This window comes from Homo sapiens, chromosome 1 (genome assembly GCF_000001405.40).
Source record: "Homo sapiens chromosome 1, GRCh38.p14 Primary Assembly".
Taxonomy (NCBI): Eukaryota; Metazoa; Chordata; class Mammalia; order Primates; family Hominidae; genus Homo; species Homo sapiens.
The window spans coordinates 52,065,852-52,092,479 of NC_000001.11; the positions used below are offsets into that span (position 1 = coordinate 52,065,852).

At 40.8% G+C, this 26,628-nt stretch overlaps 1 protein-coding gene across 3 annotated transcripts in view; it reads left to right on the plus strand.

Annotated features, from left to right (window-relative positions):
- BTF3L4 (basic transcription factor 3 like 4) overlaps positions 1 to 24,865 on the plus strand; it is a 34,422-nt gene extending 9,557 nt beyond the window's left edge. For 2 of the 3 annotated variants that reach the window (NM_152265.5, NM_001136497.3), the window contains 3 exons: positions 17,489 to 17,690; positions 20,261 to 20,320; positions 20,861 to 24,865. In NM_152265.5, coding sequence (NP_689478.1) covers positions 17,489 to 17,690; positions 20,261 to 20,320; positions 20,861 to 20,907 — 309 coding nt within the window. In that variant the 3' untranslated portion in view covers positions 20,908 to 24,865. The remainder of the gene's footprint in view (positions 1 to 17,488; positions 17,691 to 20,260; positions 20,321 to 20,860) is intronic. The other variant, NM_001243767.2, reaches the window with a different exon arrangement.
- Positions 24,866 to 26,628: the final 1,763 nt, after the last annotated feature.

The following is a 26,628-nucleotide window of genomic DNA, read 5'->3' on the forward strand; positions in this document are numbered from 1 at the left end:
ACATGGTGAAACCCTGTCTCTACTAAAAATACAAAAATTAGCTAGCTGTGGTGGCACATGCCTGTAATCCCAGCTACTCGGGAGGCTAAGGCAAAAGAATCACTTGAACCCAGGAGGCGGAGGTTACGGTGAGCCAAGATTGTGCCATTGCACTCCAGCCTGGGTGACAGAGTGAGCATCCGTCTCAAAAAAAAAAATTGTATGTCAGTTTATTGTATTTTGATGACACTATTTTTCTCAAATATGAGACCAAAGATTAATGTTATTCCAGAAGATACTTAATAAATAACAACAACTACTTGTGATGTTACCACCTAGATGCACCTCTGCCTGATGATTCCATTTGTTTTTTTGTTTTTTAAGACAGAATCTCACTCTGTCACCCAGGCTAGAGTGCAGTGGTGTGATCTCTGCTCACTGCAACATCTGCCTTCTGGGCTCAAGAAATTTCTGCCTCAGTCTCCAGAGTAGCTGGGATTACAGGCGCCCACCACCACACCCGGATAATTTTTTTTTTTTTTTGTATTTTTAGTAGAGACAGTGTTTTGCTGTGTTGGCCAGGCTGGTTTCAAACTCCTGACCTCAAATAATCTGCCCACCTTGGCCTCCCAAAGTGCTGGGATTACAGGCGTGAGCCACTGCACCCAGCCAGTTCCATCTGTGATGGTAACCAAAGTTTACGCTTTTACTGCCATAAGTTAAATTTAACCGGCCGGGTGCGGTGGCTCACACCTGTAATCCCAGCACTTTGGGAGGCCGAGGCGGGTGGATCACGAGGTCAGGGGATCGAGACCATCCTGGCTAACACGGTGAAACCCCGTCTCTACTAAAAATTAAAAAAAAAATTAGCCGGGCATGGTGGCGGGCACCTGTAGTCCCAGCTACTCGGGAGGCTGAGGCAGGAGAATGGAGTGAACCCAGGATGGGGAGCTTGCAGTGAGCCGAGACCACGCCACTGTACTCCAGTCTGGGCAACAGAGCGAGACTCCATCTCAAAAAAAAAAATTTAATCATTACTGTGTTTGGTATCACCTCACAATTTTAAATAGGTGACTAATGTACATGTGCTATAAAACAAGAATCAGAAATAATGTGGAGGTAGGGGCTGGGCGCAGTGGCTCACACTTGTAATCCCAGCACTTTGGGAGGCCAAGGTGGGCAGATCTTCTGAGGTCAGGAGTTTGAGACCAGCCTGGCCAACATGGTGAGACCCGTCTCTACTAAATATACAAAAATTAGCCAGGCATGGTAGTGCGTGCCTGTAATCCCAGCTATTTGGGAGGCTGAGGCAGGAGAATGGCTTGAACCCAGGAGGCAGAGGTTTGCAGTGAGCAGAGATCATGTGAGACTCTGTCTGAAAAAAAATAATAATAATGTGGATAGAGATCATTAATAAAGAAATAGCAGAGTTAAATGGCAAAGAAAAGGTAGTGGAATGGCAAAGTGCCACATGTTCCTTCCACCTTGCATATATAAATGAATAAAATTAACACATCATTTAAATCTGCTTTGTACATTGAAAATCAGTGTACTGATAAAATAGTAGAAAATGTAAGCCACATGCATCTTTTTCCTTTCAGCTTGATGTGACTGTGCCTTGTTACTCTGAGATACAGATTAGAGCTTCATTTGTAAGACCTGAAATTATATTTAGAGATTATTTTTTCTGAGTTATTGAAAGCTTTTATATATTTTCATGGACCTCAAATATTTTAGAGACCGTTCTCTTAATCTTAGATACATATTAGAAAAAACAAATCTAAGTCCTTTCAAACCTCTTTTTAAAAATCTAAAACTTGGTAAAAATGAATAAGTTGCAATAATACACATGAATTCTGATAATATTAAACCTAACCTACTTGTAAATGTTTATGCAATTTTATATCTTTGCCTACCTTTCTACCCTTCAACTCCTCTGCCCCCCAACCTCAGCCCTGTTGACATTTTGAACTCGATAATTCTTTGCTGTGAGAGCTGTCCTGTGCATTACAGGATATTTAGCAGCATCCCTGGCCTTCACCCACTAGGTGCTGGTAACAGACCTATACTCCTAGTTGTGGCAATCAAAAATATCTCTAGAGATTGCCATGTATACGTACCTTGCAGGCAAAGGGCAGGCACCCTTAGCTGAGAAACACTTCTTTAGAGAGGAAAAAAAATTATACCTTCCTTGCAGTATAGATTTAACTGTGTAATATCTCCAAGGACATGTTTTTCTAAAGTTTTTGTTCAGATTTGGAAGACTTTATGCCTCTCATAATTAGTAAAACTTTTAGTGTAGGGGCAGCATTGATTTTATAAGTGTTTTACATTGAAATAAGGAACCAGTTAGTAATTTTTGATCTCTTCAGAATATAATCAAACCTATAATACTGTGCCGAGGTCATGGTGTTGCTGTAATTGAAATCATCATAACAAAGTACTTAATGATAGTCAACGTTTATTAAACATCTGCGTGCTAAGCATTTTGCCAAGGACTTACTGGACAGTGGTACAAGATATTCTGCATGGCCTCTGTCTTTTGTAGCTTACGATCTGGTGAGGAGACTAATTAGACAACTAGACAAATCAATATGTATTATATCGTACCATTTCAGCTTCACAATATCCCTTTGAGTTGGTTGTTGTTGGTTACAGATGAGAGAGCTGAGGCTTAGAGAGTTAGGTGCCTACCTAAGATCACGTAGCCTAGTAAGTGCTAGAATTCCAGGTTTGAACTAAGGTGTGTCAAAACCAGAGTTCATAGTATTCATTAATTTATCCTGCTTTTGCTGTTTTCATTTATACTTGATTATACTCATTCTTGGCCTTTTAATTTCCTCCTGTCCCTCCTCCCCCACCAAAAAAAAGGGAAGGTAAGAGGTTCACCTGCCTTATATAGGTACTGAGCACCTACCATGCAGAATTCGTTCCTTAAACCATTATAGAAAAGAAATCCCCATCAGTATTTCCAAGGACATTGCTGTTTCTCCTTTTTCAGGTCTTAATATAGGCATTATTTCCTCCCAGAAGCCTTCCTGGTAGCACCTGTACAGCATTTGTGCAGAGAAGGGTTAGGTGCCTTTCGTGTATGCCTCCACAATGCCCTGTATCTGCTTTTTATTATAGCACTTATTAAATTATATTGTGAATTCTTTTTTGTTAATATTGCCACTGCAATTTTTTTGAGTAGTTAATACACCTCACAACATCACGCAGAGAATTAATGCCACATAATAGATATGTGGCATGTGTGTACACTATAGCAGCTTCTCTGCCCTCCCCCCATCCTGGTGTTGTCTTCTAACCCTCACAGGATAGTTGTACAGGGAAAACGTACAAAGTAATAATACAAGGTGGCAACCATAAAATTTCTGAATATTTGAACCGAAGATGGAGAGGAGTTTTACTTTTTGTTCTTCTTTCCCTCTTTCTAAAATTGATTTTTTGAGAACCAAGATATTTGTTACTTTATATAACCCTTAACAAATCTGAAATATTCCTCTTTGGGAACATCTAGTATACTATATATAACCTGGCTTGCTCATACACTTGGGTTAAAAACAGCTTCTTGAGAAGGAAAAAAGAAGCTATTGCATTAAATGTATACATGAAAATATAGATATGATTTTCAGAAACACTCAGATATGAACATATATATATGTCAGAGTAGGGAACACATTAATTAAAACTTTGTTATTTTTACTTTGGGATGTTTAAAACTTGTTACAAAGTGTGAACTCAGGAATATGCTGCCTTTTTGAGTTTTGGCAGTTTAAAGCAGATAAAAACTTTTGAGAAGAAAAGACACTTTTTGCCATTATTGTGAAACAATATGATAGTACTTTCTGTGCTTAGACCTTCAAAACATGAAAAAGTAGAAAGTGCTCAGTTTAGGGAGTGAGGAACAGGGAGAGCAGTAGTGGATCTCAAAATTCATTGAATGCACTTAGGCCAAGTAAAGTGTTTCTCCATACCCCTAATTTTCTACTGTCAGTACTGAATGTCACTAACATTAGTACTATCCAAGCTATCAGTATTTGTGATTTTTTTTCCCCCTTCCAGAGCTTAATTGGTGTCCTCTTCAGAAACTTTAAAAACTAAGGTTGGGTGCGGTGGCTCACTCCTGTAATCGTAGCACTTTGGGAGGCCAAAGCAGGTGGATCACCTGAGGTCAGGAGTTCAAGACCAGCCTGGCCAACATGGTACAACACTGTCTCTACTAAAAATACAGAAATTAGCTGAGTGTGGTGGTGCATGCCTGTAATCCTAGCTACTCAGGAGGCTGAGGTAGGAGAATCGCTTGAACCTGGGAAGCAGAGGTTGCAGTGAGCTGAAATCGTGCCATTGCACTCTAGCCTGGGCGACAGAGCAAGACTGTCTAAAAAAAAAAAAAAACTAAAAGACTATTTGGAATAAGACAAGCTTCTCTGACCTTCTTTGGTTCATTGATTTGGTATAATAGTTCATTGGTATAATAGTTCATTTGGTATAATAGTTCATTTGGTATAATAGTTCATTGATTTGGTATAATAAATTATATATAGGTTTGTTTGTTTGTTTTTAATGTTACCAAACAAAGAAAAATCCAAGGCTGTCAGAAACTAAAGGATAGGACTTCAGGAGGCTGAGGCAGGGGAATCGCTTGAACCCTGGAGGCAGAGGTTTCAGTGAGCCCAGATCATGCCACTGCACTCCAGCCTGGTGACAGAGCAAGACTCCATCTCAAAAAAAAAAAAAACAAAACTAAGGGATGAGGGGTTTCAGAGACAGTTTCATACAAAGGTCAAATAAATAACCAGCTTTTTTTTTTTTTTTTTGGTGGGGGGATGGTCTCACTGTGTTACTCAGGCTGGAGTGCAGTGGCACAGTCTTGGCTCACTGCAACCTACTGCCTCCTGGGTTCAAGCAATTCTCATGCCTCAGCCTCCTGAGTGGCTGGGATTATAGGCGCACCACCACATCTGGCTAATTTTTATATTTTTAGTAGAGACGGGGTTTCACCACATTGGCCAGGCTCGTCTCAAACTCCTGACCTCAGAAGTTCCACCTGCCTTGGCCTCCCAAAGTCCTGGGAGGATTACAGGTGTGAGCCACTGCGCCTGGCCAATAACCAGCTTTTTGAAAGGAATTCTTAGGCAGACTTACAGAGTATCATCCAGAACCAAATTTCTGAAAATGTTTTATGTTCTGTAACATTTGAAAATATTTGAATGTGCTTGTTATTTGGTAATCTAGTTGAATGTAGTGACTGTGCTGTCACCTTTTCTTCCCCAATTGCATGAATCCATTGACAAAAGGATCTGTTTTATTTCTCAGAAACAACAGATTTTTTCCAGTTTATTTGGTAAGAAGTGTAACCAAAAAGCACTTTCCGATTCAGATGCCCTAATTGTTCCAAGTTGCTTCATAGAGTTTTATAATAATATTCAGAGGACAGCTTCTGTCTTAATCAGGGTATAATTCAGCCTCCATGAAACCCTTCCTGTCTTTCCAGGTATAGTCAACCCTTTCTCTGTACTTTTACTGCTGTTAGCCTAAGTTGCTCTTCTATAATATGTTTTTCGCTATCTCATATCGTGGTGTATAATGGTAACTTATTAATCCAGTAGTCTGTTTTCAGTAGCTTATAAAGAGTCTTGACGGCTGGGAACATGTTTATTCGTTGTTTCTAGTTTATAGCATGCTGATTCTCTGTGATGAGTTTGCTTAGAACCTATTAAATTTAAGAGGTACTGATTATTCCAGGTGGGATTGTTCTGCAGTAAGTTAGCTATAGGGAGCTAGGGCTTAGAGAAAGCTTAAGGCTGGGAATATAAATTTTGTAATTGGACACATAAGTTTTACTTTTTACATTTTCCTCTTCCTGGTTCTTGTTTTTTCTGAACCAGTTGTACAGAAAGAGGACCTAAAGTTAATGGCGGGCTCTTCCTGCAGTTCCTTCTTCCTCCAGCTAGAGCCTCAGGTGCCCATAGATAGACAGCTCTGAGTACACGAGAGTAAAAGGGAAGCACCATGTCCTATTCACTTTACCATTCCATAGCATCCTTCTTTCTCTCTTAGGGTCCTGTTCTTTTGGCTTTTTGTTTTGTTTTTTACTCTGTGTGTGTGTGTGTGTGTGTGTGTGTGTGTGTGTGTGTGTGTAGATATATCTATATATATATCACAAAATTTGCCATTTTAGCCAGGGTTTTTTTTTGTTTTTTTTTTTTGGTTTTTTGTTTGTTTTTTGTTGTTGTTTTGAGGTGCAGTCTCGCTCTTTTGCCCAGGCTGGAGTGCAGTGGTGCGATCTCGGCTCACTGCAAGCTCCGCCTCCTGTGTTCACACCATTCTCCTGCCTCAGCCTCCCGAGTAGCTGGGACTACAGGCGCCCGCCACCACGCCTGGCTAATTTTTTGTATTTTTAGTAGAGATGGGGTTTCACCATGTTAGCCAGGATGGTCTTGATCTGCTGACCTCATGATCCGCCTGCCTTGGCCTCCCAAGTGCTGGATTACAGGCATGAGCCACCGCGCCTGGCCAGCTGTTTTTAACTATACAATTCATTGGCATACATCACAATGTTGGCCAAACATCACTACTGTTCATCTCTAGAACTTTTTTCATTTCCCTCAACTGAAACTTGATACCCATTAAACAATAACTCCTTATTCCCCTCTACCCCAGCCCTTGGTAACCGCCAATCTACTTTCTATTTTATGGATTGCCTATTCTAGATGTTTCATATGAATAGAATCATGCAGTATTTGTCCTTTTGTGCCTGGAGGCCTGAAAACACTCACTTAACTTAGTGTTTTCAGGGTTCATCGAGGTCATAGTGTATCAGAACTTCACGGATTTATAGCTGAATAATATTCCATTGTATGCGTATACCACATTTTATCCATCCTTATTGGCATGTTTTGTATTTAAAAAGCTTTCTTCCCCTCAACATAAAAATATATTGCCGGATGAGTGCAGTGGTTCACACTTGTAATCCTAGCACTTTGGGAGGCTGAGGTGGTCGCATCACGAGGTCAGGAGTTCATAACCAGCCTGGCCAACATGGTGAAACCCCATCTCTGCAAAAATACAAAAATTAGCCACGTGTGGTGGCGTGCGCCTGTAATCCCAGCTACTCAGGAGGCTAAGGCAGAAGAATCGTTTGAACCTGGGAGGCGGAGGTTGCAGTGAGCCAAGATCGTGCCATTGCACTCCAGCCTGAGCAACAGAGCAAGACTCTGTCTCAAAAAAAGAAAAAAATTGGCTGGGCGTGGTGGTGCACGCCTGTAATCCCAGCTACTCAGGAGGCTGAGGCAGGAGAATTGGCTGGGCATGGTGGTGCACACCTGTAATCCTAGCTACTCAGAAGGCTGAGGCAGGAGAATTGCCTGAACCTGGGAGGCAGAGGTTGCAGTGAGCTGAGGCCATGCCATTGCACTCCAACCTCGGCAACAAGAGTGAAACTCCGTCTCAAAAAAAAATATGTATCTGTATATCTATATAGATAATAGATATTGCCACTGTAGGAAATCAGGAATATAGAGAAAATGTCAAGAAGACAATATTCAACCATAATCCCTACCACCCAGAGAGAGCTACTATTAGTCTTGTATTTAATCTTTCCCATCTTTATGTACACTATATATATGCACTATATATATGCACTATATATATGCTACATACACACACACACACACACACACACACACACACACACATATGATTACAGCTAGATGTACAATTTAGAATTCTTTTTTTTGGCAGGTGCAATGACTCATGCCTGTAATTCCAACACTTTGAGAGGCTGAGGTGGAAGGATTGCTTGAGGCCAGGAGTTTGAGACCAGCCTAGGTAACATCGTGAGATGCTGTCTCTACAAAAAAAAAAAAAAAAAAAAAAAAAAAAGGCCAGGCTGGGTGGCTCAAGCCTGTAATCCCAGTACTTTGCGAGGCCAAGGCAGGTGGATCATGAGGTCAGGAGTTCAAGACCAGCTTGGCCGAGATGGTGAAACCCCGTCTCTACTAAAAATACAAAAATTAGCCGGGCGTGGTGGTGGGCGTCTGTAATCCCAGCTACTCAGGGGGCTGAGGCAGAGAATTGCTTGAACCCAGGAGGCGGAGGTTGCAGTGAACTGAGATCGTGTCACTGCACTGCAGCCTGGGCAACAAAGCAAGACTCCATCTCAAAAAAAGAAAAAAATGTAATTCGCTGGGCATGATGGTGCATGCCTGTGATCCCAGCTACTCAGAGGGTGAGGCAGGAGGATACTTTGAGCCCAGGAGTTCTAGGCTGCAGTGAGCTGTGATCTCACCACTGCACTTCCAGCCTGGGTGACAGAGCAAGACCTTGTTTTTTTTTGTTTGTTTTGTTTGGTTTGGTTTTTTTTGTTTGTTTTTTGTTTTTTGAGATAGAGTCTCACTCTATGCCCAGGCTGGAGTGCAGTGGCACAGTCTTGGCTCACTGCAACCTCTGCTTCCCAGGTTCAAGCGATTCTCGTGCCTCAAACTCCCAAGTAGTAGCCGGGATTACAGGTGTGTGCCACCACAACCAGCTAATTTTTTTTTTTTTTGGAGGCAGTTTCACTCTTATTGCCTAGGCTGGAGTGCGGTGGGGCAATCTCGGCTCAACACAACCTTGGCCTCCCAGGTTCAAGCGATTCTCCTGCCTCAGCCTCCCGAGTAGCTGGGACTACAGGCATGCACCACCATGCCCGGCTAATTTTGTATTTTTAGTAGAGACGGGTTTCTCCATGTTGGTCAGGCTGGTCTTGAACTCCTGACCTCAGGTGATCCACCTGCCTCGGCCTCCCAAAGTGCTAGGATTACAGGTGTAAGCCACCACACCCAGCCCCATACCCAGCTAATTTTTGAATTTTTAGTAGAGATGGGTTTTCACTGTTTTGGCCAGGCTGGTCTTGAACTCCTGACCTCAGGTGATCCACCTGCCTCAGCTTCCCAAAGTGCTGAGATTACAGGCATGAGCCACTGCGTCCGGCTTGTTTTTGTTTTAAAAGAATCATTTTTACTTTTTTAATTTTTAAATTTTTTATTTTGAAACAAGGTCTCACTCTGTCACCCAGGCTGAGAGATTCCATCACCATGCCTGGCTACTTTTTAGAATTATTTGTAGAGATGAGGTCTCCCTATGTTGCCCAGGCTGGTCTTGAACTCTTGGCCTCAAGCAGTCCTCCCACCTCTGCCTCCCAAGGTGCTAGGATTACGGGCATGAGCCACCACACCCGGCCAATAATCATTTTTTAAAATAGCATTATATTATAAAAATTGTTTTATGTCATTAAAAAAACTCCTTTTAATCATGTGTAGGTATCTACATACATTCCAGTATATGGATATACTGTACTGTAATTTAACACTTTTTAATTATTTATTATACATTATAATGTTTTGATAATAAAAGAATCATGTGATGAACTTTTCTATATATAAATATATCTCTCTGGGCCGGGCGCGGTGGCTCACGCCTGTAATCCCAGCACTTTGGGAGGATCACGAGGTCTGGCCAACATGGTGAAACCCCATCTCTACAAAAATACAAAAATTAGCCGGGCGTGGTGGCACGCTCCTGTAGCCCCAGCTACTCTCAGGAGGCTGAGGCAAGAGAATTGCTTGAACCCAAGAGGCAGAGGTTGCAGTGGGCCGAGATCGCACCACTACACTACAGCCTGCTGGGCAACAGAGTGAGACTACGTCTAAAAAAAAAAAAAAACCATATATATAAAATAATAAATAAAATATATTTTAAAATATATATTATATATAAATTATAGTAATTATATATTATATGTAAATAAATATTTTATATATTTGTATATAATAAAATATATGTATATTTTTATATATATAAATCTGAGTTCTTTCAACTCTCTTGTTGCCCAGGCTGAAGTGCGGTGGCGCGATCTTGGCTAACTGCAACCCCCACCTCCTGGGTTCAAGTGATTATCCTGCCTCAGCCTCCTGAGTAGCTGGGATTACAGGCAGGCGCCACCACACCCAGCTAATTTTTTGTATTTTTAGTAGAGACGGGGTTTTATCATGTTGGCCAGGCTGGCCTTGAACTCCTGACCTCAGGTGATCCACCCGCCTCAGCCTCCCGAAGCGTAGGGATTACAGGAGTGAGCCACTGTGCTCGGCCTCTGTAGATTCTTGAAAGTGTAGTTACTGGCTGAAAGAGCCATGAACATTTTTAGAACTCTTCATGCATTTTGTCAAATTGCTTTTCAGAAAGAATATGCCAGTTCACACTACCTGCAGCATATATAAAGAGAATTCCTAGCTGGGCACGGGAATTCTTTTTTGTACTTTTAGTGGTGGCGTATGCCTGTAATCCCAACTACTTGGGAGGCTGAGGTGGGAGAATTGCTTGAACCCAGGAGGTGCAGGTTGCGTTGAGCAGAGATAGCACCACTGCATTCCAGCCTGGGTGACAGAGCGAGACTCAGTCTCAAAAAAAAGAAAGAAAAAGGCTGGGCGCAGTGGCTCACACCTGTAATCCGAGCACTTTGGGAGGCTGAGGCGGGCAGATCACGATGTCAGGAGTTCGAGACTAGCCTGACCAATATGGTGAAACCCCATCTCTACTAAAAATACAAAAATTAGCTAGGCGTGGTGGTGGCGCGTGACTCTAATCCCAGATACTCAGGAGGCTGAGGCAGGAGAATCGCTTGAACCCGTGAGGCGGAGGTCGCAGTGAGCCGGAGGTTGCAGTGAGCCGAGATCGCACCACTGCACTCCAGCCTGGGTGACAGAGCGAGATTCTGTCTCAAAAAAAAAAAAAAAAATTCCTGTCTTGTCAGACTTGTCACCAGAGAATAAGACAAAGTGATCCCAGCATATGTTATAGACTAATGATAGCGTAAGCTTTAGCTTAATAATAGCCATTAGAAATAAGCAGATGCTGAGCTAGAATTGAATGTGAAGGATACTGACTGATTTATAAGAGCGTGTGCAAAGCCCATTATCCTCAAAATCTCACATTCTTCAGTCTCACAACACCCCAGACGCTTATGTGCCTTATTCTTAAGAAGTCTGTTGTTTTACCCTATTAAGCTGTAAGAAGAGGCTAGGTGTGGTGACTTGTGTTTGTAATCCCAGCACTTTGGGAAGCCAAGGCAGGAGGATCACTTAGGGCCGAGAGTTCAAGACCAGCTTGAGTAAAATGACACCGTGTCTCTAAAGAAAATAAAAAATTAGCCAGGCATGGTGGCACATGCCTGTAGTCCTACCAACCTAGGAGGCTGAGGCAGAAGGATCCCTTGAGCCCAGGAGTTTGAGGCTGCAGTGAGCTGCTATTATCAAGCCACTGTACTCCAGCCTGGGAGACAGAATGAGACCCTGTCTCTTAAAAGGTATAGGAAGAAGTCAGTAAAAGATGAATTTTCTGGTAAACATTTAAGTGCCATTACATGTAGGATGGAGTAGGCAACTGCTGGCTGGGCGCGGTAGCTCCTACCTGTAATCACAACACTTTGGGAGTCCAAGGTGGGTGGGTCACCTGAGGTCAGGAGTTTGAGACCAGCCTGGCCAACATGGCGAAACCCCATCTGTACTAAAAATATAAAAATTAGCTGGGCGTGGTGTCACATGCCTGTAATCCCAGCTACTTGGGAGGATGAGGCAGTGGAATCACTTGAACTCGGGAAGCAGATGTTGCAGTGAGCAGAGGTTGAAGTGAGCCGAGATTGCGCCATTGCACTCTAACTTGGGTGACAGAGCGAGACTCCATCTCAAAAAGAAAAAAAGAGACAACTGCTAATTCTCTTTTATCATTCTCAGTTGGATTCAAAAAAAGTCACAAAGAAGAATTCAAGCCTCCATGAACTGAGAGGGCAGTTATTAGCAAGAGCTATGGAGTCAAATATAATTTTGTGAGCCTCCTCTAGCCACAAAAATGTACTGCAGTATAGGAACAAAGTGAGCATCAAATTTACCAGGTAGGAGGCTACTATGACTAACTTACATACCCTATGCAGAGCCCAGCAAAGGTAGGGATTGTTAAGGTGTTTGATAGCAGCATAAAAGGGCCACCCAGCAGTTGCCAAAGAGTGACTTAAAATGCCCCTAATTCTGGAGGGTAGGTTGGGCTGATTCTGAAAGGTCAAAACTATAGGAAAAGTCAGGCTAAAGATACAGCCCAGGAGATTCTGGGCATCTTCGTTGGAGGCACTGCTGGTGCTATATTTAAACCTTAATGTGACCCATCATCTAGCATTTGGGGAGTTGGTCTGACAATATCCTTTTTTTTCCTTTTTTAAGACAGGGTCTCGCTCTGTCACCCAGGTTGGAATGCAGTGGTGTGATCACAGCCTCGACCTCCTAGGCTCAGCAATCCTCCCACCTCAGCCTCCTGAGTAGCTAAGACTATAGACATGTACCACCATGCCACCTGGATTGCTTTTGCTTTTTTTTTTTTTTGGTAGTGATGGGGTTCTCGCTGTGTTGTCCAGGCATCTTGAACTCCTGGATTTAAGCGCGCCTCCTGCCTCAGTTTCCCTAAGTGCTGGGATTACAGACATGAGCCACCATGCCCAGCCATGATTTTAGAATAAATTGTATAGGAGGTATCCATTCATTCATTCAGCAGATTTGAGTGATTATTATGTACTAGATATTGGGGGAAATACTATGTCGAATAAGGCATGGTCTCTGATCTTAAGAAATTAACCTTCTAGTATGGTCAGTGATTTACAAATGCAATTATACTACAAGACAATTCTGTATAATAGCAGTAAGTGCATAAACCACCTTAAGTTTTCACAGAGAAAGAAGCATCTTACCTCAATCTTGGATAAATGGGAATGTGCAAGATGGAGAAGTAGGAAATGGTTCTTCTAAACAGTGAAAACAGCATATATAAATACACTAGGAATGAGAGGACAAAGTTTACTGCTAACTACTATACACATCAGTATTAAAGCAAAAAATGAGAGCAAGGGCATTCTGTGGTTTGGACTGGGGTCTCAAAATGCCTCTTTCTCCTTAGCTCAAGTGGCATCCTTTACCTTCAGCTATCTTTAGGGAAAAAAAAACAAATTTTGACCTAAAGGGGATGTTTGGTTGAAAAAGAGACCTCAGTGCTGGTATAGTTGCTAATTTAATAGTCCTTTTTATTTGGCTGCTCCTTGTTCTTATATTGTACATATATTATATGGCTTACTCAAACCACACAGTATAAAATCACTGAAAGAAGTGAAGTCTCGATATTAAATGCATATAATTTGCTTTATGACTTTAACAAGTTCCTTATCCCTTCTTTTACCCAAAATGGTAGGAGAGGTGTCTAACTGGTCTTGTTCAGCCAAACAATTCATCGTTTGATAGTTTATAATAGCTCGTGCCCAGAAGCTTTATATAACCATGTCATTTGCTCAGAAGGAAGGAATGTTAGAAATAAAATAATTTGAATTAGTCGGGCATGGTGGCACACACCTGTAATCCCAGCTACTTGGGAGGCTGAGGCAGGAGAATCGCTTGAATCCGAGAGGAGGAGTTGCAGTGAGCAGAGGTCACATCACTGCACTCCAGCCTGGGCAACAAAGTGAGACTCCATCTCAAAAAAAAAAAAAAAAGAAAGAAAATATTCTAGCTGTTTTACCTTCTAGTATTTCTCTATATTCTAAAATTAACTAAACTCTCCATCCCTTTCTGGACCTTTCTATTCCTGAAGCTGCATCTTTTAGACCACTCCATTTAAAACAGCCATGAATAAATTTATTTATGTTTCACAATCTGAGATGGAATTCATCTTGCTTTTCACACTAAACTCAAGCATATTTCAAACTAGAAAGACCTATATATCAGGGTGTAAAATATAACAACATTTAGCCTTCAGAAGAGAAACTTGAACATAAGAAAAAACTCCATGAGTTTGTTTATTGTTTTTGGCTCCATGTTAGCCTCTTGTTTTGTAGCCAATAAGATACATTTTATCTATATACCTGTGTTGTTTTTCTTTTGTGTTCTCGATTTGGCCTATATCCTGAAATAAATCATTCTCTGACAAGCTCTCATGAGGCCATGGAATTTTCTTTTTCTTTTCTTTTCTTTTTTTTTTTTTTTTTGAGACAGGGTCTCGCTCTGTCGCCCAGGCTAGAGTGCAATGGCATGATCTGAGCTCACTGCAACCTCTTCCTCCCGGGTTCAAGCGATTCTCCTGCCTCAGCCTCCCAAGTAGCTGGGATTACAGGCACCCACCACCACACCCAGATGATTTTTGTATTTTTAGTAGAGATGGGGTTTCACTATGTTAGCCAGACTGGTTGTGAACTCCTGATCTCAGGTGATCCACCCGCCTCAGCCTCCCAAAGTGCTGGAATTACAGGCATGAGCACCCAGCTGAATTGAATTTTTGTAGGCAAATAAGCGTTTTAAGTATGAGAATGATTTAGTAGGAAGGAAACAAGAACAAGTTGGGAAACCCAGGTTAAAGTCCTCGGTTTGCACTTAACAAGCTATTTGTCCTTGGGTATGTTGCTAACAAAGAGCTTTTGTCTTCAGTGTTTATTTCTTTAACATAAAGGATTTGAACTGGAAGACTTCTAAGTTCAACAAATATATAGCCTGAATTTTTTGAACAATATTGATTTCAGATTTCTTGTGACTTTAATGTCTGTAAATAAAAAAAAAGTCTCAGATTCCAATATTTGAGACTCTGCACCCAGAAGCATTTTAGAAATCTTTGGTTTTTTGGGTTTTTTTTTTTTTTTTTTTTTTTTTTTTTTTTGAGACGGAGTCTGACTCTGTTGCCCAGGCCAGAGTGCAATGGTGCGATTTCGGCTTACTGCAACCTATGTCTCCCAGGTTCAAGCAATTCTCCTGCCTCAGCCTCCTGAGTAGCTGGGGTTATAGGTGCCTGCCACCATGTCTGTCTAATTTTTGTATTTTTAGTAGAGACAGTGTTTCACCATGCTGGCCAGACTGGTCTCGAACTCCTGATCTCAGGCAGTCCACCAGCCTCGGCCTCCCAGAGTGCTGGGATAACAGGCGTGAGCCACTGCGCTCGGCCTTCTTTTTTTTTTTTTTTTTTTTTTCTGAGAAAGTCTCACTCGGTAGCCAGGCTGGAATGCAGTGGCACAATCTCAGCTCACTGCAACCTCTGACTCCCTGGTTCAAGTGATTCTCCTGTCTCAGCCTCCCAAGTAGCTGGGATTACAGGCACATGCCACCACACCCAGCTAATTTTTGTATTTTTAGTAGAGAAAGGGTTTCACCATGTTGGCCAGGATGGTCTCTATTTCCTGACCTCGTGATCCACCCGCCTCAGCCTCCCAAAGTGTTGGGATTACAGGCCTGAGCCACCGCGCCTGCCCTATTCTTTTATTTTTTTGAGAAAGAGCTTCACTCTTGTCGCCCAGGCTGGAGTGAAGTGGTGCGATCTCACCTTACTGCAACCTCCGACTCCTGGGTTCAAGCCACTTCTGCCTCAGCCTCCGAGTAGCTGGGATTACAGGCACCCACCACCATGCCTGGCTATTTTTGTATTTTTAGTAGAGATGGGGTTTCACCATGTTGGCCAAGCTGATTCTGAACTCTTGATCTGCCCACCTTGGCCTCCCAAAGTGCTAGGATTACAAGTGTGAGCCACCGCACCTGGCCTGAAATCCTCTTTTAAACCACGTGATTTGGTCTTGATTTGAAAAATATAGTCCTACCATATCTTTTGTTCTTTTCCCATTCTAAAATTATGTGATTCTAGGCTAAATGCAGAGCAACATCCCATTTCACATCCACTGTCATCCTTCTCGAGCCCAGATTTCACCCACTTTAACATTTAACTTTTTAACAAAACTGTAATTATCTTCAAAACTATATAATTTATCTTTTCTGAAGTTAACATAACTCACAGTGCTGTGTTTTTAGAACAGCTGGGTTGAATGCTTGTGTGTGATATAATTAATAGAACCCTAAGTGTAATAGTGAGAGAGGGAAGGGTATAGAATTTAAATAGTGATTTTTGTCAGAAAAACCTGGGGAAATTATTTGTGGGTTTAGTTACAATTTTCCAGGGATTTGCCTTTATTTTCTCTGTGTTCCAGGTCTTGCCTGAAATTTAGAAGCCCCTTTCTTGCCCTTCCTTTCTGGTGCTATCAATGGTGGTAATCACCTCTGAGGAAGAAAAGCCCTCTTCCCACTGTCCATGGAGAACACTCAGCATCTATGCTTGATTTTGACAGGGCAGATTTTGGATGAATCATGAAATGCTTCTAAAGTAGCCAAGAGTTAACTCTTCCTAACCTTTTTATATAGTAAGCATGTTACCCCACAAGGTAACTTACCCAGGGGAATCAACTACATAGTGGAATCACGTTATTCACACATTTAACTTACACAAATTCAACTCTACTGAAAAAAACATGAAGTACATGAGTGAGAGAGAAAAATAACAATCTTAAGTAGCACATGTTAAACCTTCCATTTCAGTAAGTCCCAGGCAATGGATGAAATCAAATCTGAAATAGTTCATATTGGTGAAAGTTATGGAAAGAATGTGAGGATGATTTTTAAAGGTTTCCTAGTTGATAAAGCATGTTCAGGTCACTAGGTGAGTGGGTGGGACAATTTCTTTGACCTTTACAGGGGTTATTAAAGATTGTTGAGAAGCTACCCTTAAGAATTAGAGGAACTGGCTGGGTGTGGTGGCTCATGCCTGTAATCCTAGCACCATGAGAGGCTGAGGTGGGCAGATCACCTGAGGTCAGGAGTTCGAGACCAGCCTGGCCAACATGGTGAAACCCCATCTGTACTAAAAATACAAAAATTAGCTGGGCATAGTGGCATGTGCCTCTCATCTCAGCTACCAGGTTGGGAGGCTGAGGGAGGAGAATGGTTAGAACCTGGGAGGCAGAGGCTGCAGTGAACCGAGGTCATGCCACTGCACTCTAGCCTGGATGACACAGCGAGATTCTGTCTCAAAAAAAAAAAAAAAATTAGAAGAACTAGCAAAATCCCTTACAAAGAATGGCATGATTAGAACAAGTTGAAATTTTTATAAATGTACTAAGTGCTTGAAGGAATGAAACACCTGGTTACGTTTCTGAGTGTTCTTTATGGATTTTTAGTGGTTGTTTTTACCATATACTATTTCCCCTTTGTAACCAGTCCCCTAAGTAAGATGCTACCCTGCCAAGTGGAAATTGCACTGATTTTGTTTGACAGTATAAATTGAGTAAGATAATGAGTAATTTCATTAAGAAGCTGGTTTTTGGCTGATACTTCCATTTTTTAAAAAAACATGGTCATGTACTTCCTTCTCTTAGAAGTCTTTGAATTTAAAATCTAGATTCTATAATGAATTGAATATTTCTTGTCCATCCTAGTAATTTGTGCCATCTACACCATTTTACTTTATTACTATGATCTTTTTCCACGAATGTCCGTTGCTTGGCCAGTTACTACCTTGGGATTACATAACTACCAAGTAAAGAACCATAATTGGCTGAATTGCTTTTTAAAAATATATTGTTTTAGTGTACCTAGCATGTGAAGTACATTTTTCTTCTGTGATCATACAGGTGAACATGATTAAAGATGATGGGACAGTTATTCATTTCAACAATCCCAAAGTCCAAGCTTCCCTTTCTGCTAATACCTTTGCAATTACTGGTCATGCAGAAGCCAAACCAATCACAGAAATGCTTCCTGGAATATTAAGTCAGCTTGGTGCTGACAGTTTAACAAGCCTTAGGAAGTTAGCTGAACAGTTCCCACGGCAAGGTAGGTATTTCAATTTAGTAAATCTTTCTCTCCCCACCTTACTTAAAGAACCTAATCATTTAAAAGGTGTCCCATCTTAATTTGGATTTGCCTGTATGTAATTATTTTACTTTCTATAAAGTTATTTCTATGCTTCATAAAATTTTGAGTTTGTTTAATGATTATGTAGTGTGACATATAGAATATTCAGAAACATGGCTGGGCGTGGTGGCTCATGCCTGTATTCTCAGCACTTTGGGAGGCCGAGACGGGCAGATTGCCTGAGGTCAGGAGTTCGAGACCAGCCTGACCGACATGGTGAAACCTCGTCTGTACTAAAAATACAAAAATTAGCCAGGCATGGTAGCAGGCGCCTATAATCCCAGCTACTCGGGAGGCTGAGGCAGGAGAATTGCTTGAACCCGGGAGGCAGAGGTTGCAGTGAGCTGAGATCATGCCATTGCACTCTAGCCTGGGCAACAAGAGGGAAACTCCGTCTCAAAAAAAAAAAAAAAGAATATTCGGAAACATTTTGGTAGTAATAATAGTAAGTTGAGAAGTAATTACCTAAAAGGGTAGTGCCCAGATCTTCAGGCCATAATTTTATTTTATTTTATTTCATTTTATTTATTTTTGAGACATAAAGTCTTGCTCTGTCTCCCAGGCTGAAGTGCAGTGGTGCGATCTCAGGTCACAACAACCTCCACCTTGTGGATTCAAGCAATTTTCATGCCTCAGCCTCCCGAGTAGCAGGGACTACAGGTGGTGTGCACCACTGCACCCAGTTAATTTTTGTATTTTTAGTATACACAGGGTTTCGCCATGGTGGCCAGGCTGGTCTTGAGCTCCTGGCCTCAAGTGATCCACCTACCTACCGCCTCCCAATGTGCTAGGATTACAGGCGTGAGCTACCATGCTTGGCCCATCATTTTAAATAGTTAATTTGATATTCACTGCTAATTAATGACAATCAGAAAATACTGTTATATGGCTGGGCGCAGTGGCTCACTCCTGTAATACCAGCACTTTGTGATGCTGAGGAGGGAGTATTTCTTGAGGCCAGGAGCTCAAGACCAGCCTGGGCAACATGGTGAGACCCTATCTGTACAAAAAATACAAAAATTAGCCAGGTGTGATAGCACGTGCCTGTAGTCATAGCTACTCAGGAGGCTGATGCAGGAGGATCACTTGAGCCCAGGACTTCAAGTCTGCAGTGAGCTATGGAAAGCCACTGTACTTCAACCTGGGTGACAGAGGGGGGAGACCCTGTCTCTAAAAAAAAAAAAAGAAAAAAGAAAATAATGTTGTCAGACATCTATGTTTTTGTTAAATATTGATTGCCCTATAAATGTGGCAACCGTAAGTTCTGAATTTCCAAGATAGTCCTGGTTTCAAATGTGTCATGTTGCCCCTAAAAATGAAAAAATCTAGTATTGTAGTGCCCATACTACCTAGCTAGATACTTTCTTACACCAAAAGAAATGAAAAAAATCTTTTTTTTTTTTTTTTTTTTTTTTTGAGACAGAGTCTTGCTCTGTTGCCCAGGCTGGAGTGCAGTGGCATGATCTTGGCTCACTGCAACCTCCACCTGCCGGGTACAAGCAATTATCTGCCTCAGCCTCCCAAGTTAGCTGGGATTACAGGCGCCCGCCACTGCGCCTGGCTAATTTTTATATTTTTAGTAGAGACAGGGTTTCACCGTCTTGGCCCGGCTGGTCTTAAACTCCTGACCTCGTGATCCACCTGCCTCAGCCTCCCAAAGTGCTGGGATTACAAGCATGAGCCACTGTGCCCAGCTTTGTTGTTGTTGTTGTTGTTGTTGTTGCTTGGTTTTTTTTGTTTGTTTGTTTTTTTGTTTTGTTTTTTTTTTGAGACAGAGTCTGACTCTGTCGCCCAGGATGGAGTGCAGTGGATTACAGGTGTGAACCACCATACCTGGCTGAAAAAAACCTTAATATTAATTTTTTATTTGGAGAATATGGCCACTGTAAAGTCTTTTTACTCAGTGATCAGTTATTCCACTTTGCATATAAATTTTATCTTTGTAGGCCGTGTGTGGTGGCTTATGTCGGTAATCCCAGCACTTTGGGAGGCCAAGGCAGGTGGATCCCTTGAGGTCAGGAGTTCGAGACCAGCCTGGCCAACATGGTGAAACCCCATCTCTACTAAAAATACAAAAATTAGCTGGGTATGGTGGTGTTTGCCTGTAATCTCAGCTACTTGGGAGGCAGGGAGAATTGCTTGAACTTGGGAGGTGGAGACTGTAGTGAGCCAAGATCGCATCACTACACTCCAGCCTGGTCAACAGAGTGAGACCCTGTCTCAAAAAATGAATAAATAAAAATAAATAAAATAAATTTCATCTTTGTCACACATGGAAATTGCCAGCTGTGTTATCAGTGTATTAACTGATTAAAGTTTTATTTTTAATGTTACTCAAGCAAAAAATATGAATGGCATTTTAGATTGACAATATTTAGCTATTTCTGAGCAACTCTGTGTGATTTATACAGGAAAAAAGGGATAAACATTATAAGTTTTCTTTAAGGTCTTTGTTCTCAATGACTAATATTAAAATAAACTTTTTGTAGTCTTGGACAGTAAAGCACCAAAACCAGAAGACATTGATGAGGAAGATGATGATGTTCCAGGTAAGTGACATTTCCTTAGACTTAAGATTTTAAGCATCCTGTTTATCTCCTTTCAGTCATTGCATAGATAACTTTTAGGTTTGTGTTGATTGTAAGCTCATGAATTTAAATTGATTCACAATAATGTGGATAGGATCTAATGAAAAACAACGTAAGCACCCACCTTAGAACCTAGAATCAGAAATTGTCACACAAAGCTCTGCTGCCTGGATTTATTAAATTGAAATCACTGTGATTATAAATTTGCATAGCTATTGTTATAACATTTCTGTATGAATTATAATTGACATATGAAAATGCTATTCACCTCAGTAATTTGCATAGACAAAAGATGAACATTTCCTTAGGATTACTGTCCTAAGCAAATAATTAAATCATTGTTAGTAAAATGCCACCAGTTCATTTCTGCCTCCTTATGTTTTCAGGCTAATTCTGGTTGTACTAATTTTATTTTTTCGGGGGTTAGAAGTTAGGAGTTCCATTTACCTCTTTTTCCTTTTTTGTATTCTTTGATTCATATACTTTGTTTTTCTTTTTCAGATCTTGTAGAAAATTTTGATGAGGCATCAAAGAATGAAGCTAACTAAAAGTTTGGTTTTTGGAAGCTGGCATGGACTAGATTTAACAAATCAGCTATGTGGTTCCAAAGTTTTACAGACATGGAGAACATCACCTGTTACTAGTTCAGTAATATAAATATTTTGTATATTAATAATGCTGTTTGTTCAGCATTTTTCGGTCATTTGATTTTGCATTTTGCACTTCCTCCCAGGATATTTTTTTGGTCAAAATATGAAGTATTGGTGCAGTTTGAGGGTGTTTTGGTTTTTGATTCCTGGTTTTTTTGTTTTTTGTTTGGGGTATTTTTGGTGTATGTATGTTTATGTATGTGTGTGGGTATGTGTGTATACAGTGGAGAGCAAATTGGAAAACAGTTCTATTTATCCTCCTCCCTCCCCAGTAGAAATAAAAAAAATCTTTACATTTGTTACTTTTCTTTTCCCCCCGTAAGACACAGAATTAATGGAAAGTGAGTATCTTGGATTTCAAATCTGAAGAGATTTTTACCATTAGTGGTTTGATTTTAATTTGCTTGGTTAACTATCATATTTTTCATACACTTCTCTGGATTTAAAATATCTTGAGGTATTTTGCCACTGGCTTCATGCTGGAGTAATGGGTAACATATCTTTGGTATGGTTGCCTTAGATTAACTTACCTAGTCAGACCCAGAAGAACTTCTTTTACTAGCTTGCTTCCTAAATGCCTTTTTTCCTCTCCTTTTGGTCTCCAAATGGCCTGGTCAGCTTTTGGTAATATTCTTCCTCATCTTCCACCTAGCTTGAGAAGGATGTTCTCCATATAGAGTTTAGCGAGTGCCTAATCCCTCCTTTTGTAAGATTTTGTTCCCTCAGCTTGAGGAACAACTTCATCTTCAACTTTTTATTTCTCCCTGATGTTACAGTTTGGTAGATTTCAAACTGGAATAGCTAGCATGTGCTTGCTAAATAATTTTATGCCAGCCTTATCCTGTATCCTAGCTGTTCTTAACAGCAGGTACAAAAATGCCTGTTTTTCAGCAAGGTTGAAATTGGGAATGTCCTTTTGAATCAGAAGAAAATAGGCCATAGACTCATCTCCCAGCACAAATGGGCATTCTATGAAATGGTACTGGCCCTAGGAGGATTTCCTCAACCACTCTCCTACTCTTGGCCTTGAACCTACCTCTGGGTTGGATCTTACTATTGTAGCTGCTCACTATACCCTCCTGCATGCTTAGAATAATGCTTTGAGGGGAGCACTGGTAAAACACAGTATTTATTTTTTTACCTCCTTTAAGAGGACTTGGAGGTAAGTTGCATTCATTCACTCAAGTTTCCCTCTTGCTGTCTAATAGAAGCTTACTTTTTGCTATATCAGCATTTGTTACAGCCAATATTTAAGGACAAAATTTAGAAAATATATCATTTCCTGGCCCATCATCAAACTAATACAGCTTAACCTTGCAGCTACCAACTTTTGTGTCAAGCTAGATATCTTTATTTGATATCTAAGGTGCAAGACCAACAATATATTAAGAGATCTGTAGACATGAAGGCAAAGCTCTTGTATTTTTTTTCATCCAAACACCTCAATTTATTTTATAAATTCGTTCATTTTTCCTGTTATGTTTTATATAATATATGGACTAAACAAAATAAAATAACAGTGCAAAAGAGGAGAATATTTCCTCTTGTGCTTTTCTTGATGTTGTGTACAGAATTTCCTTTTATATTATTCCTCTACCCTCCACCTGTAAATGAATGTTAGTGCAGTAATTGTTTGAAATAATGCCTCATCCAGTGTTAGGTCAGTAGCTCCACAGTCTACACAGTCCAGAATTCTTTCTCTAATTGTCCCAAAGGGGGACATTGTGGAGGCAGAGTTAGGGGGAACCACTTCAAGTGGTTAGGGACAGATAAATAATAGGCAGTATAGCACATGAAAGAAAACACACACTTGGAAGCCAGGAGACTTGTGTCCTAGTCAAAACTCTGGCATTATGTGACCTTGGACAGGTCATCTAACTACTCTGAAATTTATCATCAGTCAAATAAGATTTTATTCTGTTTTGTTTTGTTTGAGATGGGGATTTGCTCTTGTTGTCCAGGCCGAACTGCAATGTTGTGGTCTCGGCTGACTGCAACCTCCACCTCCCAGATTCAAGCGATTCTCCTGTCTCAGCCTCCACAGTAGCTGGGATTTTTTTTTTTTTTTTTTGTATTTTTAGTAGAGATGGGGTTTTACCATGTTGCCCAGGCCGGTCTTGAATTCCTGTCCTCAGGTGATTCATTTGCCTCGGCCTCCCAAAGTGCTAGGATTACAGGCGTGAGCCACTGCACCCAGCCCAAATGAGATGTTTCTAAATCTAAAGTTTCTTCTGCTTCTGCATTTCTGTGAATCTCATTTGAAATTTTTCAGGGAAGGGATTTTATCATTTGTTCAGAGATGTCTTTATTTTTATTAATACCCATAAAACGTTTGTGTATTTGCTTCTTCCTCTTTCTCCTTTTGATCACATTTTAGCTACTTATCTAGAGGATCTCTGGCCAAGTATTCCCTTTTATTGTATTGATAACAATTCTTAATGGCTGGCCTCTCTTGTGTACAATGAGCCAATATTCTTTTTTGTTCTATATTTTTGTATCTTCCCCTTTCCTGAACAAAGCATATTTAGAGTCTCAAAGAAATCCTCTCCACAAAGACATGTTCCTCCCTCTGGTGTGGGTAGACATAGGGTAAGAGTTTGGATGAAACTTTTGTAAATTGTAGTGTTCTTGGCATAAATATGAATTAAATCTTTTTTTATATTTAAATAACTAGTTAAATATGTGCTTCTTACTAAGATTAGGTATTTTTTGCCAAGATAACAATGATAAAAACATTTTGGGGGGGAAATTGACCTTAAAATTTTGGGATAATTCAAGAAATGTCTGCAGAAAATTGATTTATGATCTTAATTTTTGTGTTAGTCCTTTGAGGTTTTTTTGTTTTTGTTTTTGTTCTTTGTAAAGCGCCTTATCTGTTTTGGACAAGTCCAAAGTAAATGGTTGGGCTCTTATATCTGTTTTACCCTTATTTTTCCCATTAAGTAATGGTTTAAGAATATATCAAGCACCTTAATTTGTTGTTAAGTAGCTAGTGCTTACAGGATTCCATTAAATTCACTTTAATAAGCCTATGAAGTTCTTATGAAAAACCCATATCTGCGATATGTTTGATTTGTTTCTTTGTTTTAATTCAGTGTTTAACCCTAGGTATGCTACATACCCATAAATAAGATACCATGGTAAGAGATAGTATGTTATAGTGGGAAAAGCACAAGTTTTTAGATAGAGATCAATTCTGCTATCTACCCTTACATTGTAACCTTTCTGACAGGGCTGCTGCGGTGCACAACTTCGGGAGCCATCACTTATTTTTGTTGTGTTCCAGAAGGTGTCATTTTCATAGACTGCAGTGTGAATAGTGTCCTCCATTAATAATGCAATGATGGCCTTGCTCTCTGAGCCTCAGTTTTATCTATAAAATGGTACCTAGAAGAGTCATGATTTCTTAGAATCCCCTAAATTATTAAGGTGAAGGTAGAAGATGATTAAAGCGTGTTATCTCCTAAGCTATGGCTTAGATTTTCCGAAGCTCATGGTTCTAGGCACAGAAAGTCTCCATTCTACACTGCATTTCAACCTGTGTTGAACAACACTCCAGTTCAGCCTGTATTGCTATGCCACATAGAGTTTGCCTGAATTATTATAGCTTTCTTAATAGTTTTGTTTATGATCCACTCTCTCCAGCCCATTACACAGGAGCCAGCTACCTAAATTTCCTATCTGAGCATGTCCTTACATTTACTTCCAGCATACTATTCATTTGCCATAGTAGAGTATTAAGATTATTTGATTTTCTTTTTACTTTCTCGTAGTGCCCAATGTGTAGTTTACTCAACATCATAATATGTAATGTTTTTCAACTACTTACTGTTGAATACAAAGTTATCTCATTTAATTCTCAGTCTGATGCGGCAGATATTATAATCCCTATCTTTTTTTTTTTTTTTTTTTTGAGACGGAGTCTCTATCACCCAGGCTGGAGTGCAGTGGCACAATCTTGGCTCACTGCAACCTCTTGAAGCGATTCTTCTGCCTCAGCCTCCCAAGTAGCTGGGATTACAGGTGCCCACCACCACACCTCGCTGTTTTTTTTTATTTTTAATTGACACGGGGTTTCACCATGTTGGCCAGGCTGGTCTTGAGCTCCTGACCTCAAAATGATCTGCCCACCTCAGCCTCCCAGAGTGCTGGGATTACAGACATGAGCCACTGTGCCCAGTCTATACCCTGTCTTAAAGAAGAACAAAAAAATGGTTTAGGGAAATTGGTAAAAGGCCAAACAACTAATTGGTGGGGAACCAAGATTCTAATCAAAAGCTATCAAATCCCAGGGTCTAAACTCATCACTGCATACCACTCAACAAATATTTATTGAAGTGAAAATTATGTTTACATAATTACAAATTATGTTTACATAGCCTCTCCAGTTAGATACTCTCACCAATTAATATCACTCAATATTAACCTGAAAATCAAACATGTCATAAGGATTGTTCAGGGTCTAAGGATTTTCTTTTTTAAATAAGTAGGGTTTGTAATTTTTGCATGTATTCAGGAGTTGACTTTTATAAAGTTAATAATTGAATATTTTGCATACTTCAGGATGTTTCATAGCAGCATTTAGGCAAAAATTCTTGGGTTATGTATGTTGATCTTGACACTGGTGTTTCTTAAAATTTTGCCACCTTTTAGGCATACCTTGTTAAAGAAAAACAATTCTATAAACTTGAACAAGGTAGTGAATTTGTCTTGCAGCCATATTTTTTCTGTGTTTAAAATCAAACTATTCAACACAAAACCTGTTAGAACTAATAAAGGAGGCTGGTTGTGATGGCTCACACCTGTAATCCCAGCACTTTGGGAGGCCGAGGCGTGCAGATCACTTGAGGAGGTCAGGAGTTTGAGGCCAACATGGAGAAACCTCATTTCTACCAAAAATACAAAAAATTAGCGAGATGTGGTAGCACACACCTGTAATCCCAGCTACTTGGGAGGCTGAGGCATGAGAATCACTTGAACCTGGGGTGCAGAGGTTGCAGTGAGCTGAGATCACACCACTGCACTCCACCCTGGGTGACAGTGAGGCTGTTTCTCAGAAAAAAAATAATAATAATAGCCAGTCATGGTGGCTCACACCTGTAATCCCAGCACTTTGGGGGGCTGAGGTGGGTGGATCACCTGAGGTCAGGAATTCGAGACCACCCCAGCCAACATGGTGACACCCCATCTCTACCAAAAGTACAAAAAATTAGCCAGGTGTGGTGGCAGGCCCCTGTAATCCCAGCTACTCAGGAGGCTGAGGCAGGAGAATCACTTGAACCCGGAAGGCGGAGGTTGCAGTGAGTCAAGATCGCGCCATTGCACTCCAGCCTGGGCAACGAGAGCAAAACTCTGTCTCAGAAAGAAAAAAAAAAAAAAAAGGCCAGGCGTGGTGGCTCATGCCTGTAATCCCAGCACTTTGGGAGGCCGATGCGGGCAGATCACGAGGTCAGGAGATCTAGACCATCCTGGCTAACACGGTGAAACCCCATCTCTACTAAAAAAAATATATATACAAAAAATTATATGGGTGTGGTGGCGGGCACCTGTATTCCCAGCTACTTAGGAGGCTGAGGCAGGAGAATGGCGTGAACCTGAGAGGCGGAGCTTGCAGTGAGC